The sequence below is a fragment of the Homo sapiens genome, chromosome 4 (assembly GCF_000001405.40).
Source record: "Homo sapiens chromosome 4, GRCh38.p14 Primary Assembly".
NCBI lineage: Eukaryota > Metazoa > Chordata > Mammalia > Primates > Hominidae > Homo > Homo sapiens.
The window spans coordinates 57,755,953-57,773,259 of NC_000004.12; positions in this window are offsets into that span (position 1 = coordinate 57,755,953).

The window sequence follows — 17,307 nt, forward strand, 5'->3', positions numbered from 1 at the left end:
CAGATTACTTTTTTAGTATTTTTGAAAGGACCTAGTAAGAGTAATTGATAATTTATAGGTCACTTAGTTTCAGGTCTAATACAATGATAGAAAATTATAGCCTAAATATTCTGAGAACCACAAACCACTGCTCAATTTCAAACAAATGGAAGAACATTCCATGCTCAAGGATAGAAAGAATCAATATTGTGAAAATGGACATACTGCCCAAAGTAATTTATAGATTCAATGCTATTCCCATCAAGGTACCACTGACTTTCTTCACAGAATTAGAAAAAACTACTTTAAATTTCATATGGAACCAAAAAAGATCCCGTATAGCCAAGACAATGCTAAGCAAAAAGAACAAAGCTGCAGGCATCATGCTACCTGACTTCAAACTATACTACAAGGCTACAGTAACCAAAACAGCATGGTACTGGACAAAAACAGACATATAGACCAATGGAACAGAACAGAGGCCTCAGAAATAATGCCACACATCTATAACCATCTGATCTTGACAAACATGATAAAAACAAGTGAGGGGAAAGGATTCCCTGTTTAATAAATGGTGTTGGGAAAACTGGCTAGCCTTATGCAGAAAACTGAAACTGGACCCCTTACTTACACCTTATACAAAAATTAACTCAAGATAGATTAAAGACTTAAACGTAAGACCTAAAACCATAAAAACCCTAGAAGAAAACCTAGGCAATACCATTCAGGACATTGGCATGGGCAAAGACTGCATGACCAAAAGGAATGGCAACAAAAGCCAAAATAGACAAATGGGATCTAATTAAACTAAAGAGCTTCTGCACAGCAAAAGAAACTATCATCAGAGTGAACAGGCAACCTACAGAATGGGAGATAAATTTTGCAATCTATCCATCTGACAAAGGGCTACTATCCAGAATCTACAAGGAACTTAAACAAATTTACAAGAAAAAAACAACCCCATCAAAAAGTGAGCAAAGTATTTGAACAGACACTTCTCGAAAGAAGACATTTATGCAGACAACAGACACATGAAAAAAATGCTCATGATCACTGGTCGTTAGAGAAATGCAAATCAAAACTGCAATGAGATACCATCTCACTCCAGTTAGAATGGCGATCATTAAAAAGTTAGGGAACAACAGATGCTGGAGAAGATGTGGATAAATAGGAACAGTTTTACACTCTTATTGGGAGCATAAATTAGTTCAACCATTGTGGAAGACAGTATGGTGATTCCTCAAGGATCTAGAACCAGAAATACCATTTGACCCAGCAATGCCATTACTGGGTATATACCCAAAAGATTATAAATCATTCTACTATAAAAACACATGCACATGTATGTTTATTGCAGCACTATTCACAATAGCAAAGACTTGGAACCAACCCAAGTGCCCATCAATGATAGGCTGGATAAAGAAAATGTGGCACATATATACCATAAAATACTATGCAGCCATAAAAAAGGATGATTTCATGTCCTTTGGAGGGACAGGGATGAAGCTGGAAACCATCATTCTCAGCAAACTAACACAAGAACAGAAAACTTGAACAAAACACCACATGTTCTCACTCATAAGTGGGAGCTGAACAATGAGAACACATGGACACAGGGAAGGGAACATCACATACCAGGGCCTGTTGGGGGTAGGAGCTAGGGGAGGGATAGCATTAGGAGAAATACCTAATTAGATGATGGGTTGATGGTTGCAACAAACCACCATGGCACGTGTATACCTATGTAACAAACCTGCATGTTCTGGACATGTATCCCAGAAGTTTAAGTATAATAATAATAAAAAAATCTTAAACACTTTTTTTCACTTGCTTTCTTTCTTTAATGTGAGTGGGCCTACACATAGTGAGAGAGAGAGGAGAGAGAGAGAGACAGACAGACAGAGAGACAGAGAGAGAGCAAATAGAGAGGGAGGGGAGAGAAAGGAGAAATAAATTATGGGTTTTTGTTTCTTACCTGTACCATCAGTTCCTTTTGACTCCATGATATTCTATTTGAATTCTCTCTATAGATATGTGTGTGTGTATGCATATATATGCATATAATTACACTTTAAATCTGTATTTATCTCACATAAGTGTTCCCAGTCTTTATCTATACAAGGTTATAGAAACTAGAAGGCAGGCCATATATTTTAGAGTAATCTATTTTAGAGCACCTGTAAATTGTATTCAACATAACAGTTTTATTAAATTCCTTGACTTAAAGTGTTACTGAATTATTTTGTGATCTACAATTCTCAGGTGAAGAGACAAAAATCCCATCAAGCTGAGGAGACGGGAATCTAATTCCACAGAACAAAATGTGCTTTTAATAAACTGTGACAAGAAAGGCAAGAAATATAAAAAGGTTTAGGAGATAAAAATCTGGGTCTTAGACTAATGAAAACATTCAATTCACATGTCACAACCAAATAAAACAGCAGAATATGGTGAGTGGACACTGACCTCTCAAGAATACATCTTCTGTACACCATAGCAAACTCACCTAGAAGAACAATGAATCCCTGGCAAACATTTATCTTACAAAGAAATGCAATAAATTGGTTGAAAGAATACACTTTCAATGCAGCAACAAAATGAAAGCAACCTAGCTAAAGGAATCTACTTTACACAGTGTGAAATATAATACTTGTTGAACTGTAAGCCACTTCTGTGCATACCTAGCCACATATACATAGTGTGGAGAGGACTGGTTGTGGGCTGCTTCTGTCTTCCAATTGGATGCTACTTGAAACTTAAATTACAAAGTAAATATTCTGATTGTAAGTAACATGCACATTTACAGAAAAATAAAAAAATTAAAGAAAAGTAAAATGCCAGAAAGTAGAATTAAGAAAAATATTCATATTCTTGAGACAATTATTAACATTTTTGTGCATTCATTTTTATATTTTTTGTTAGAAACTTTCAGCATAATTGAGATAATATTTTTATGTAATTTTGTATTCTTTTCACTTAACTTCATATTTTCTTAGTTTACTTTCTATGAATGTTATTTTTGAAACCAAGGGCAAGAATAGTTTGAAGTCTCTTTGGTTTATATCACCAATTGCTCTCATATCAATTTATCAATGTTCATATCAATTTACATAGCACTATATATGGTTGCTACTCACCCTGGGATTGAGAAAATATTGATTACAATTTTCATTGTTTTAATAAGTTGTTAGATTTTAGAAGTCCCTAATCTAATTTTACTTTATTCTTAAGTGTACTGATATTACAATTTTATAAAAAAATATATTTTTTCATATTGTCAACTGTTTATTTTCTTTCTTATTTTTGATCTTTTACTCTGTTGGCAACCTTTGGGCTTTTCATATACTAATGTTCACACTTTTGTCTCTTACATTTTTTACTTTCCCATTTATTACTATTTCTTTCTCTGATAGCAATTATATTATCCTAATCATCCAAATATTTATTACTTATTTTTTGTCTAGATTATTTTTCAGCCACTAAAATTTGAGAGTGCGCTATTAAAATTTTCAACCACAGATGTGTTTCTATTCCCCCCAGCATTAACAGGCTGGGCACTGTGGCTCACGCCTGTAATCCCAGCATTTTGGGAGGCCAAGGCAGTCAGGTCACTTGAGGTCAGGAGTTTGAGATCAGCCTGACCAACATAGCGTGACCCCATCTCTACTAAAAATACAAAAATTAGCCAGGTGTAGCAACACATGCCTATAGTCCCAGCTACTTGGGAGGCTGAGGCAGGAGAACCACTTGAACTCAGGAGGTGGAGTTTGCTGTGGGCCGAGATTGTGCCACTGCACTTCAGCCTGGGTGACATGGAGAGACTCTGTCTCAAAAAAAGAAAAAAAAAAAAAACAACCACACACACAAAAAAACAATGCATTAACAATGCTGCAGCTGATGACTGGCATTTATGGAGTGCTCTTTGTGTATCTGGCTCTATTCAAAATGCCTGCCATCCTACATAATTTGATCCTCACAAGAGCCAATGAGAAAGGTCCTATTATGAATTCAATTTTTTAGAGGAGGAAATGGAAGCACAGAAAAGTTAAAAAAAAAAAAAACTTGCTCAGTGTTACCCATAAGAATTAAAACCCAGGCTATTTGGCTCCAGGGTACATGTTTTGCTTATGGCATTTTGGTATAATAGTACTTAGAGGTTGGCCTAGGTTAGCCTATCTTCATTGTGTGTTGGATTTTTAATCAGTTTAAATGTTCTCTCTATATTACCTGTGTAAGAAATTTGGGATGATTGTGCCAGGCTAAACTCTGAGACATAAAAATAAGAAATGGTTTCATTGTTCTTCAGTCACTGACTTCAGCCATTTTCTTTGTGTTCCTTTTCTTGATGACAATGATATTTTTGTCTCAAGTAGATTTCATAGCAGTTCTAGAAAGACCTTTTCTGGTCATTGTGGTATTAAGAAGATCACCTGCTGTACAGGTAACTTATATGGGAGGGAAGTGGTAGCTCGAAGTGTTTCAAATGCCCCTCCTCTGTCCTCTGTCAGTACAGCCCATTGTCTCTTGCTGCTGAGCTACCCTAGCCCAGTGGGCAGCTCTTTGGGGCAACTGTCTTAAGACAGCTCAGTGTGTGTTACTTCTGCAGAATCCTGTGGATCTTCTGGGAGCTCACACATTCTCTCATCTGATATGAGGTAGAAGTGCAGGCTGCTCTATTATTTCTCTCTAATCTTTCTAATTTTCTTTCAACCATAAGGCTTTGCAGGTGGGGCACTGGTGGTTCAGCCAATCCACGGCACAAGCAGATATCCAACTGAAAAATGAGAGGCCTGTTTCCACCACACATTCCTGGTTCCTATGAGTAATTCTCTTAGGATCGTTGATCTCAGGAAATGAGGGTTATTTTTCTTTTTCTTTCAATCATTTTCTCTCTCTTTGTCTTTCTGTTTCCCTGTCTTTCTCTACATCTCTTTTTCCCTCCCTCACATCCTATGTGATGTATCTTTATACAGACCAAAAGGGATGGGAAGTGGGTTAGTTGGGATGATAGTTGAGGACAGAAAGTCAGTTTTACTCCTTCATAATAAGCCCTGGAAACAATGTCTGGCTTCTGCTATTTACTTTACTTTTCTTTTTTTTGAACTGCAGTGTATGTATTGTCTTTTTGCTTTAGCATTTGTATTTGTCCATTCTGACATTGCTATAAAGAAGTACCTGAGACTGGGTAGTTTACAAGAAAAGAAGTTTAATTGACTCACAGTTCCTCAGGTGTACAGGTGGCATGGTTGAGAAGGCCTCAGGAAACTTACAATCATGGTGGAAGGCAAAGGGGAAGCAAGCACATCTTTACATGGTGATGGGAGACAGAGAGTGAAGGAGGAAGTGCTACACACTTTTAAACAATCAGATCTTATGAAAACTCACTCACTATCATAAGACCAGCAAAAAGGAAATCTGTTTCCATGATCCAATCACCTCCCACCATATCCCTCCTTCAACACTGGGAATTAAATTTGACATGAGATTTGGATGGGGACACAGAACCAAACCATACCAGCATTGGATCCTAATTTCCAATGTGGGTTAACCAGAAAAATTCAGTTACATATTTACTCTGTTTATTTCACTTTTGCTAGCCCTGATGATTTTCAGTTAGTTTGCTTTATTGGTATATGCCTAGATTTTATTTCACCCTTTAAAGCTATGTTCCTTGTAAGCAACATAGTTACATTTTTCAAGTCGGATGTAACAGTTTGTCTTTTTATGGTTCAGCAAAGTAAATGATGTGCCCAAGGTGACACCATTAGCTAAATGGAGCATCAACATTCTATCTCAGGTGTGTCTGCCTACAAAGACCATGCCCCTAATCACTACCTTTCTCATTTTTCTCCAGTAATGTGGAAAATATTATCTTGATCTCAATGTTATGGATTATTGTAATTTTTTTTTCAAAACTCACCTGAAGCTCTAATTGTCCAATTCAGGGATAATGTAAGTTTTGACTAGGTAAGGACAGTAATATACTTTATTTCCTGACACTTCTGTCTATGCATTTCCAATCTTTCATAATCTTTGTTATTCTAATTAGTTTAGTGATTTAAGCTCATGAGTTTTAGAATTAAAGAAATTTGGTTTTAAAGCTCAGTTTTGACACAGTATCATTTATGAGGATTAAAGAGCTAAGACAACAAAAAGGAAATTATAATGCAAGTCTTATATTTGTCTGTTGGTGAAATGTAAACATATTGGGTCATGAGTGGCAACTGGAGACATAAACTTAATGAAAGTCAATTTCATGTTGGGTGAGGATGCTTCTTACAGCCCGGTGCAGGGGCTCACATCTGTAATCCCAGCACTTTGGGAGGCCAAGGCAGTCAGATCACTTGAGGTTAGGAATTCAAGACCTGCCTGGCCAACATGGTGAAACCTTGTCTCTAGTTGCATACCCCTGTAGTCCTAGCTACTTGAGAGGCAGAGGCAGGAGAATCACTTGAACCCAGAAGGTGGAGGTTGCAGTGAGCCGAGATGACGCCACTGCACTCTAGCTTGGGTGATAGAAACACCGTCTCAAAAAAACAAAAACAAAAACAAAAAACAAAAACTTAACCTCCTGTGCAGCTGGAGTTCAGTCTTACTTGGGCACTGAATGAGAATTACTGATTTAGCCTAGCAAATATTTTTTTTCAAGGGTGGGATATGTTAACTTGTTTTGGGAACAAATGAACTTGACCCAAAAATAAAGACTAATGATCATAATTTTGAGTGCAGTCTGGGGGCTTTTACTCAAATCTCTTTTTACCCTAGTCTCCAAAAATACTTTTTGATTAGAGAAAGGGGTGAAAGTAAATAAATTCTGAGGAGCTTCTTTCTTGAAACTGAATTTGCGAGCACAAATGTCACCACTTGTGAGGTCTCTGAGAATATATTTAAGACTATGAAACAGGAAGTGAATTGCTTTTCCCCTTTTTTCTCTTCTCCATTTTGCTACAGCTACCAGTATCTGGTGCCACCCCTAAATAACAGCTTTGGCAGTCTGGAAGTGCTTTTCCTAGGTACGTAGTTAGGACCACTGCATGTCTGGTGCTGGTGCACCAACCAGTGCCACAGTGAGAAGGGAGAAAAGGACAGGGGAGCCAAAAAGAGCAGTGGGATGGAGAACAGATACAAGCAGAGGCTTTCAGGTGCCATTTTGCCAGGTGAAGTAATAGTAATACGTACATGTTCCAAAGCCATGCATGTAGAGTGATGGTGTTGTGCAGTGAAGGTAAAGCAGCAGAACATAAGTTTATGGACATGCACTCTTGGTTTCTGCCCTTAAATATGCTCTAATCCCAATACCCTACACCTCAGTAAGATCGCATTTTCACCCTCACAGTTATCTAAGTTCAAAACTGCTGAGTCATCCTTGACTTCCTCCTTTTTTCTCATCCAAACTATTAGAAAATTCCATTGACTCAGCCTTCAAATATATCCAGAATCCAAACATTCTCAGTCCCTCTGCTACTACCATGCTGGTGCTGGCACCCATCATCTCTCACCTGGTTACTGCAGAAGCCTCTTCTCTGATCTCCCTTTCTCTACACTTGCCCATCATTCTGTATTCTCAACATGGCAGTCATAATAAGCCTTTTAAAACAAAATGCATCCTGATCTCACCCACAGTAAAAGTTAAAGTCCTCCCAATATGTTATAAGACTTTAAATATGGTCTGTCTTCCCTCCACAATCTCCCTGACCTTACCAATGAAGATGATAATATTAGTATACATTATTCAATATGTCACATATAATATAAAATATTTTGTACAACATGTATAACATATACCTCATAGGGTTGTTAAGATCTGTAAATTAATATGTGAAAAATGCCTAGAAGAGTGTCTGTCACATAGCATGCACTCAATAAATTTAATGTATATTTATTATTGAATTCTTACTATACAGGAAGGTAGAAGCATGAAAATTAATGGACCGCTAATTCCAGGAATAAAGTAATTGCTGCTCAGTAAGATCGAGAGACTTGTCCAGAGTCATTGATGGGATGTGGTAGAGCAGAGATTCAATTTTACATCTTTTGACTGTCAGATTGCCCAATGTGTCTCCAACAAATTATTAATAAACAGTATAATTCACCTTGGAAAATGATGTCCTGAATTCACTTTTTATTTTTCATTTCATTTAAACTTTCTAGAATAAAAACCATTTAAAATAACTCTAAATTACATTTATACAATTTTTTTTACAGTTAATAGAACTATGACCACATATTTCTAAATAAATGCTTCCACATCTCTTAAAATTAAAATCTTTGAGATGAAGTATTGAGTAATTATAATTTTTAATTCCCTAAAATTATAAGTCCAAGGCCAGGAAAATAAACAAATATATAGCAATGATAAGGAGTATTAATGTATCTTTATTTGCATTGATTTGTCAGTATTAATTTAGATTGCTGACCAATAACCTAAATTCTCATAACTTGATATCAAAGCTTCACATAATTTGTTTGTGTTTTCTTTCTCTTTGTTTCCTTGTGGTTATTTGTGGATCTTTTATAGTTTGTGATTCACATTTATTTATATTACAGCACTATATTTATCTCAACTAATTCCCAGGCTTGATATTAAAAGTTGCATCTCACAAAGCATAGTCATTTCATTCCCAGGATGACATTCATATAAGTGAAAAACACTAACTCAGCTCAAGAGCTGTGTTCAAACTAGTAAGAACAAGATCTATGTACTTTTTTGCCAAGACTATTTCACGACTGCTAGAAATGAGAACAAAACACTACTAGTAAATGGATTCAAAATGATCAACTCAATGTAAGCAAGCTTAGGATCAAGTCTATTTGAAAAGTCCATTCCAGTTATCTATTTACTTTTGCTTGTGCTACAATATTATATAGGCATTTGCATTAATTTAAAAATATTGGTATTCTGGTAAGCCTGTGTTTCAGTGCCCTTTCTGTCTTCAGTTTTAAATTTGCTAGATTCAGTGGCTGGGCTCTCAGGGATAATGATCATGCTAGTTAAGGTGGATGACTATGTTTCAAGGGATGAGCTGTTGCATTTTTTTACTCAGAGCACCTCAAATGAACATAAATATCATACCATAGATGCCTTTGCTGGCGGCTGGTGATTGTCGATGCAGAGGCACCGCGATGCCGCACAGATGGCAAGAAGGAGGAAAGGCAGAGCTTGAGGCCATTTTCTTCCAGTGTTCCCTCATGCCAACAGAAGTAGTAACAGCCTCAGTTTTTAAAGGATTGGGATATTATTGTACTTTCATTTCTTTGCTTAAATTCAGGCAATGCTTGCTTTCTGTTCTGCTTATAAGACAGAGAAGAATTTTCACTTCCAGAATCTAAAATAGTAGAGGGAGGGTTTGGCCTAAGATTCTGTCTCTTGTCCTGGGCTGTGAATGAGCAAGAGAAATTTGATGGTTTCCAATGATCAGAAATGTTTTCCAGTGAGAACCCTTTGGCAGATGTAACATTATAATTTCAAAGGAGCAGTTTTTATGTTGTTTCTTTTTGTTAAAAAATACATTATTTTGTATAAACCTGAAGTTACATTTCTTTATCTGTTGCTTATTTTAGATATCACTTTTTGCCATCATCTTCTCTATGCATTTTGGAGACATCCTACAGTATCTACTTAGCTTTACCTCTAACTTTTCTTTCTGTATCTAAACTTTTAAAGAACAGTATATTTATCATCTACCATTATTTATTATCAATTATTTCTCAGACCTTCTAAGTCTTGATCTCTACCTCTTCCAGTACCCAAATTCTTCATATACTGTGGGTTTTAATGTATTCCTAACTGCCAAAAGTGTAAAAAATATCCAGCCTCAAATTTTGAAGGTTAAAAATGTATGCCATATCCCGTTAGAGGAGCCAAGTAGAAAAATGATATCAGAAGAAAATACCAGCGTTTTGATTTTATGGTTTCAGATAATAAGTTCCTTGAAGTTTCTTGAAGTATGTGCTCATTTGACCATAGTGATTAAAACCAGTTTACATTTATCACTGGGGAATTGATGTGACACTGAGGCAATGGGGAGCAAAAAAATCTTCTGCTATATCAATTTCATATTGAAACAACGTGACAGCTACCTTCTCTGAGACATTCAGCTGCTTGTGGGGTAGAATACACCTTCCATATACAAGAGATAGGTATAAGAAAAAGCTTTGTAAATTTAAAAGTAAAAAAATCATAGCCAAACTAAATTGTAAGTGTGATTTTGTTAAGTAGAAGGTTTTTTTTTTTGAAATTTACATGTAGATATACTCTAGAAGTTAATGTTACAGGCTATACTATAAACTTGTTTTCTCCTTACCGTGATCCTATGGCAGATTTTCTACCTTTTATCACCGTGCTTGGAAAACCAGCCCTGAAAGTTTTGTTAAAGCTAAAATAAATATGTGATATGTATGCATATATTATTATGTAATATGAAGAACCTGGAATTCTAAACAACTGATTCTATTCTGTTACTGTTGCTCATCATCTTCACGATGATTGAGAGTCAAAAATAGGCCAGGCCATACATTTTACTTCTGATAAGCTTCAGACTGAATCTTAGTCAAGGCCACTGGGAAGGCTAAGTTTAGCTAACATGTGGAACTCATCTTTTCACTCTAATCACTTGTCTAAGCCTGAGATTTAACATTCTAGGGATTATGAAAAAAATGTCTAGACTCTGACAGCTAGCAAAAAGATGAGTTCAAAGCATTGGAGCTAGAAAAAGACAGAGATGGTTAGACTCTTTTCACTGAGCACCAGGTCCTAAACCCAGTCTTTGCTCTCCAGCCTTGAGGAAGGAAGAGCATCCCAGAGAATGCCTGTCACACAAAGAGTGATCAAAATTTTCTCACTCCACTTCCCTAATATTATCCAACCTAACCCATTACTTAGATTTCTTTCTTTTTTATTTTATTTATTTATTTATTTTTATTATTATACTTTTAAGTTTAGGGTACATGTGCACAATGTGCAGGTTAGTTACATATGTATACATGTGACATGCTGGTGCGCTGCACCCACTAACTGGTCATCTAGCATTAGGTATATCTCCCAATGCTATCCCTCCCCCCTCCCCCTACCCCACAACAGTCCCCAGAGTGTGATGTTCCCCTTCCTGTGTCCATGTGTTCTCATTGTTCAATTCCCGCCTATGAATGAGAATACGTGGTGTTTGATTTTTTGTTCTTGCGATAGTTTACTGAGAATGATGATTTCAAATTCATCCATGTCCCTACAAAGGACATGAACTCATCATTTTTTATGGCTGCATAGTATTCCATGGTGTATATGTGCCACATTTTCTTAATCCAGTCTATCATTGTTGGACATTTGGGTTGGTTCCAAGTCTTTGCTATTGTGAATAGTGCCGCAATAAACATACGTGTGCATGTGTCTTTATAGCAGCATGATTTATAGTCCTTTGGGTATATACCCAGTAATGGGATGGCTGGGTCAAATGGTATTTCTAGCTCTAGATCCCTGAGGAATCGCCACACTGACATCCACAATGGTTGAACTAGTTTACAGTCCCACCAACAGTGTAAAAGTGTTCCTATTTCTCCACATCCTCTCCAGCACCTGTTGTTTCCTGACTTTTTAATGATTGCCATTCTAACTGGTGTGAGATGGTATCTCATTGTGGTTTTGATTTGCATTTCTCTGATGGCCAGTGATGGTGAGCATTTTTTCATGTGTTTTTTGGCTGCATAAATGTCTTCTTGTGAGAAGTGTCTGTTCATGTCCTTCGCCCACTTTTTGATGGGGTTGTTTGTTTTTTTCTTGTAAATTTGTTTGAGTTCAGTGTACATCTGCCCTTTGTCAGATGAGTAGGTTGTGAAAATTTTCTCCCATTTTGTGGGTTGCCTGTTCACTCTGATGGTAGTTTCTTTTGCTGTGCAGAAGCTCTTTAGTTTAATTAGATCTCATTTGTCAATTTTGGCTTTTGTTGTCATTGCTTTTGGTGTTTTAGACATGAAGTCCTTGCCCATGCCTATGTCCTGAATGGTAATGCCTAGGTTTTCTTCCAGAGTTTTTATGGTTTTATGTCTAACATTTAAGTCTTTAATCATCTTGAATTGATTTTTGTATAAGGTGTAAGGAAGGGATCCAGTTTCAGCTTTCTACTTATGGCTAGCCAGTTTTCCCAGCACCATTTATTAAATAGGGAATCCTTTCCCCATTGCTTGTTTTTGTCAGGTTTGTCAAAGATCAGATAGTTGTAGAGATGCGGCATTATTTCTGAGGGCTCTGTTCTGTTCCATTGATCTATATCTCTGTTTTGGTACCAGTACCATGCTGTTTTGGTTATGGTAGCCTTGTAGTATAGTTTGAAGTCAGGTAGTGTGATGCCTCCATCTTTTTTCTTTTGGCTTAAGATTGACTTGATGATGCGGGCTCTTTTTTGGTGCCATATGAACTTTAAAGTAGTTTTTTCCAATTCTGTGAAGAAAGTCATTGGTAGCTTGATGGGGATGGCATTGAATCTATAAATTACCTTGGGCAGTATGGACATTTTCACAATATTCATTCTTCCTACCCATGAGCATGGAATGTTTTTCCATTTGTTTGTATCCTCTTTTATTTCATTGAGCAGTGGTTTGTAGTTCTCCTTGAAGAGGTCCTTCATGTCCCTTGTAAGGTGGATTCCTGGGTATTTTATTCTCTTTGAAGCAATTGTGAATGGGAGTTCACTCATGATTTGGCTCTCTGTTTGTCTGTTGTTGGTGTATAAGAATGCTTGTGATTTTTGTACATTGATTTTGTGTCCTGAGACTTTGCTGAAGTTGCTTATCAGCTTAAGGAGATTTTGAGCTGAGACAATGGGTTTTTCTAGATATACAATCATGTCGTCTGCAAACAGGGACAATTTGACTTCCTCTTTTCCTTATTGAATATCCTTTATTTCCTTCTCCTGCCTAATTGCCTTGGCCGGAAGTTAAAAACTTTGAAAAAAATTTAGATGAATGTATAACTAGACTAACCAATACAGAGAAGTGCTTAAAGGAGCTGATGGAGCTGAAAGCCAACGCTCGAGAACTACGTGAAGAATGCAGAAGCCTCAGGAGCCGATGCGATCAACTGAAAGAAAGGGTATCAGTGATGGAAGATGAAATGAATGAAATGAAGTGAGAAGGGAAGTTTAGAGAAAAAAGAATAAAAAGAAACAAACAAAGACTCCAAGAAATATGGGACTATGTGGAAAGACCAAATCTACGTCTGATTGATGTACCTGAAAATGATGGGGAGAATGGAACCAAGTTGGAAAACACTCTACAGGATGTAATCCAGGAGAACTTCCCCAATCTAGCAAGGCAGGCCAACATTCAGATTCAGGAAATACAGAGAACACCACAAAGATACTCCTCGAGAAGAGCAACTCCAAGACACATAATTGTCAGATTCACCAAAGTTGAAATGAAGGAAAAAATGTTAAGGGCAGCCGGAGAGAAAGGTTGGGTTACCCACAAAGGGAAGCCCATCAGACTAACAGAGGATCTCTCAGCAGAAACTCTACAAGCCAGAAGAGACTGGGGGCCAATATTCAACATTCTTAAAGAAAAGGATTTTCAACCCAGAATTTCATATCCAGCCAAACTGAGCTTCATAAGTGAAGGAGAAATAAAATCCTTTACAGATAAGCAAATGCTGAGAGATTTTGTCACCACCAGGCCTGCCCTAAAAGAGCTCCTGAAGGATGCACTAAACATGGAAAGGAACAACCGGTACCAGCCGCTGCAAGATCATGCCAAAATGTAAAGACGATCGATGCTAGGAAGAAACTGCATCAACTAACGAGCAAAATAACCAGCTAACATCATAATGACAGGTTCAAATTCACACATAATAATATTAACTTTAAATGTAAATGGACTAAATGCTCCAATTAAAAGACACAGACTGGCAAACTGGATAAAGAGTCAAGATCCATCAGTGTGTTGTATTCAGGAAACCCATCTCACATGCAGAGACATACATAGGCTCAAAATAAAAGGATGGAGGAAGATCTACCAAGCAAATGAAAAACAAAAAAAGGCAGGGGTTGCAATCCTAGTCTCTGATACAACAGACTTTAAACCAACAAAGATCAAAAGAGACAAAGAAGGCCATTACATAATGTTAAAGGGATCAATTCAACAAGAAGAGCTAATGAGCCTAAATATATATGCACCCAATAGAGGAGCACCCAGATTCATAAAGCAAGTCCTGAGTGACCTACAAAGAGACTTAGACTCCCACACATTAATAATGGGAGACTTTAACACCCCACTGTCAACATTAGACAGATCAACGAGACAGAAAGTCAACAAGGATACCCAGGAATTGAACTCAGCTCTGCACCAAGCAGACCTAATAGACATCTACAGAACTCTCCACCCCAAATCAACAGAATATACATTTTTTTCAGCTCCACACCACACCTATTCCAAAATTGACCACATAGTTGGAAGTAAAGCTCTCCTCAGCAAATGTAAAATAACAGAAATTATAACAAACAATCTCTCAGACCACAGTGCAATCAAACTAGAACTCAGGATTAAGAAACTCACTCAAAACCGCTCCACTACATGGAAACTGAACAACCTGTTCCTGAATGACTACTGGGTACATAACGAAATCAAAGCAGAAATAAAGACGTTCTTTGAAATCAATGAGAACAAAGACAAAACATACCAGAATCTCTGGGGCATGTTCAAAGCAGTGTGTAGAGGGAAATTTATAGCACTAAATGCCCACAAGAGAAAGCAGGAAAGGTCCAAAATTGACACCCTAACATCACAATTAAAAGAACTAGAAAAGCAAGAGCAAACACATTCAAAAGCTAGCAGAAGGCAAGAAATAACTAAAATCAGAGCAGAACTGAAGGAAAAAGAGACACAAAAAACCCTTCAAAAAATTAATGAATCCAGGAGCTGGTTTTTTGAAAGGATCAACAAAATTGATAGACCGTTAGAAAGACAAATAAAGAAAAAAAGAGAGAAAAATCAAATAGACGCAATAAAAAATGATGAAGGGGATATCACCACCGATCCCACAGAAATACAAACTACCATCAGAGAATACTACGAACACCTCTACACAAATAAACTAGAAAATCTAGAAGAAATGGATAAATTCCTCGACACATACACTCTCCCAAGACTAAAACAGGAAGAAGCTGAATCTCTGAATAGACCAATAACAGGCTCTGAAATTGTGGCAATAATCAATAGCTTACCAACCAAGAAGAGTCCAGGACCAGATGGATTCACAGCCGAATTCTGCCAGAGGTACAAGGAGGAACTGGTACCATTCCTTCTGAAACTATTCCAATCAATAGAAAAAGAGGGAATCCTCCCTAACTCATTTTATGAGGCCAGCATCATCCTGATACCAAAGCCTGGCAGAGACACAACCAAAAAAAGAGAATTTTAGACCAATATCCTTGATGAACATCGATACAAAAATCCTCAATAAAATACTGGCAAACCGAATCCAGCAGCACATCAAAAAGCTTAGATCTCTTTCTTTTTATTTTATTTTATTATTATTATACTTTAAGTTTTACGGTACATGTGCACAACGTGCAGGTTTGTTACATATGTATACATGTGCCGTGTTGGTTTGCTGCACCCATTAACTCGTCATTTAGCATTAGGTATATCTCCTAATGTTATCCCTTCCCCCTCCTCCCACCCCACAACAGTCCCCGGTGTGTGATGTTCCCCTTCCTGTGTCCATGTGTTCTCTTTGTTCAATTCCCACCTATGAGTGAGAACATGCGGTGTTTGGTTTTTTATCCTTTGCTCTTTCTTTATATATGGGAAAATTGGGGGTTAGAGCTGGGGAGGAGAGTTTGAAGCTTTCCTTACCCACTTTGACCTGTAAACAGATTGTAAACAATGAGCTGGAGGACAGAGATCTTTACTTCTATGAATCTCTGTTTGGACTGTCTTTCCAAAAATGTTTACTGCATTTTAATCAATAAATGACAGAGAGATGAAGTCTGCTCCTGTCTGCTCCTTTGAATAACACAGATTACGGGAATAACAAAAAGGAGTTGATATAACAGCAAGCAAACAATGAGAAAAAGCAAATGCAAAAACAATACAGTTGAAGCTAATGAAGCATATTCTATGATCAAACATAGAATTGGTTTTATCTTTTACCTTTGGTGGAACTTAATAAATTTAACTCTTAAAAAACTCTCAAAATTTAAGCAGTCTAAGAGAATCCCAGGGTTTCAGCTTTAGAACTAGTAAGAAGGACAGATTTTGCAATATAGTTACCAATGTTATGTTTTAATCAAGATAATCCATGGAAATTTGGTTTCCCATTAATATTGGGAAGGCTTCTTTTTCTCAGGTTTAGATCAAAGCAATAGTTTCTAACTTCTTGGACACTATTTTATTTTAGTTTGGGACACAGTAAATATTCTTTTTCTAATCCATCTAAAAAAAATTTGAATTCAAGAACTAATTAAGGCTGTTGTCCACTGCTCTGACTGCTCTGACGATGGTTTCTAATTATAGTAAACTGCTTTACTTAATTCTTCAGATTTTTTTTGGAATTCGTAGAAACTCCAAAGCATCCTATTTTCATAAAGGCCAATATTCCGTTGCATTCAAATTGCAGTCCTATTTATTTTCTGCTTTTTCTTCAACCATAATCCTACTTTTATCCTTAGGAAGTTTTAGCTTTGTGTGATTGGTAGAATAGCCAGTGAAAGATATGCTGTCTCCTCCTTTTGGGATTCTAAATTCTGTTGTCAAGCTGGTCCACCAGGGATACATCCATGTGCTGTGTAATTGTCCATGGTCATAGAATAGCATTCACCATGTTGTAATTTTGTTTCTTTCTCCTGGCCTTTAGGAAACACTGCAGGGAGGCTGTGGTTCACTGTGTGTGCTCACTGGATTTTGTTTCCTCTTCCTGGGAACACAGCTGGACTATCTTTCCCTGTCTTTCTTTTAGTCAAATGGGGTGTGCGATTGGGTTCTGGTCAGCAGGATTTGGACACAAGTGATGTGTACCTGGATCTGGCCTATAGCAATCTTTCTGTCTCCTTATCTGCCAGTCAGATGCTGAGGATTCCTGGAGCCCTGGGGCTAGGGGAACAAACAGATAGAAGTAGCTGAGGCCTTGAGTGATTGCGTGGAAGAAAGTGCCCCACAACCCCACAACTCTTGTTAGATAGTGATATAGGTGAGAAGTAAATGGTTACTGTGTTAAACTATTAAGAATTTGAGATCATTTGTTGTAAGAGTCAGTTTACTTTGACAAATATAGGCGCATGGTGGTAAGGATTGTGTCTCTGAAACTGAAACCATTTATTAACTACATGACTTTGAATAAGTTTT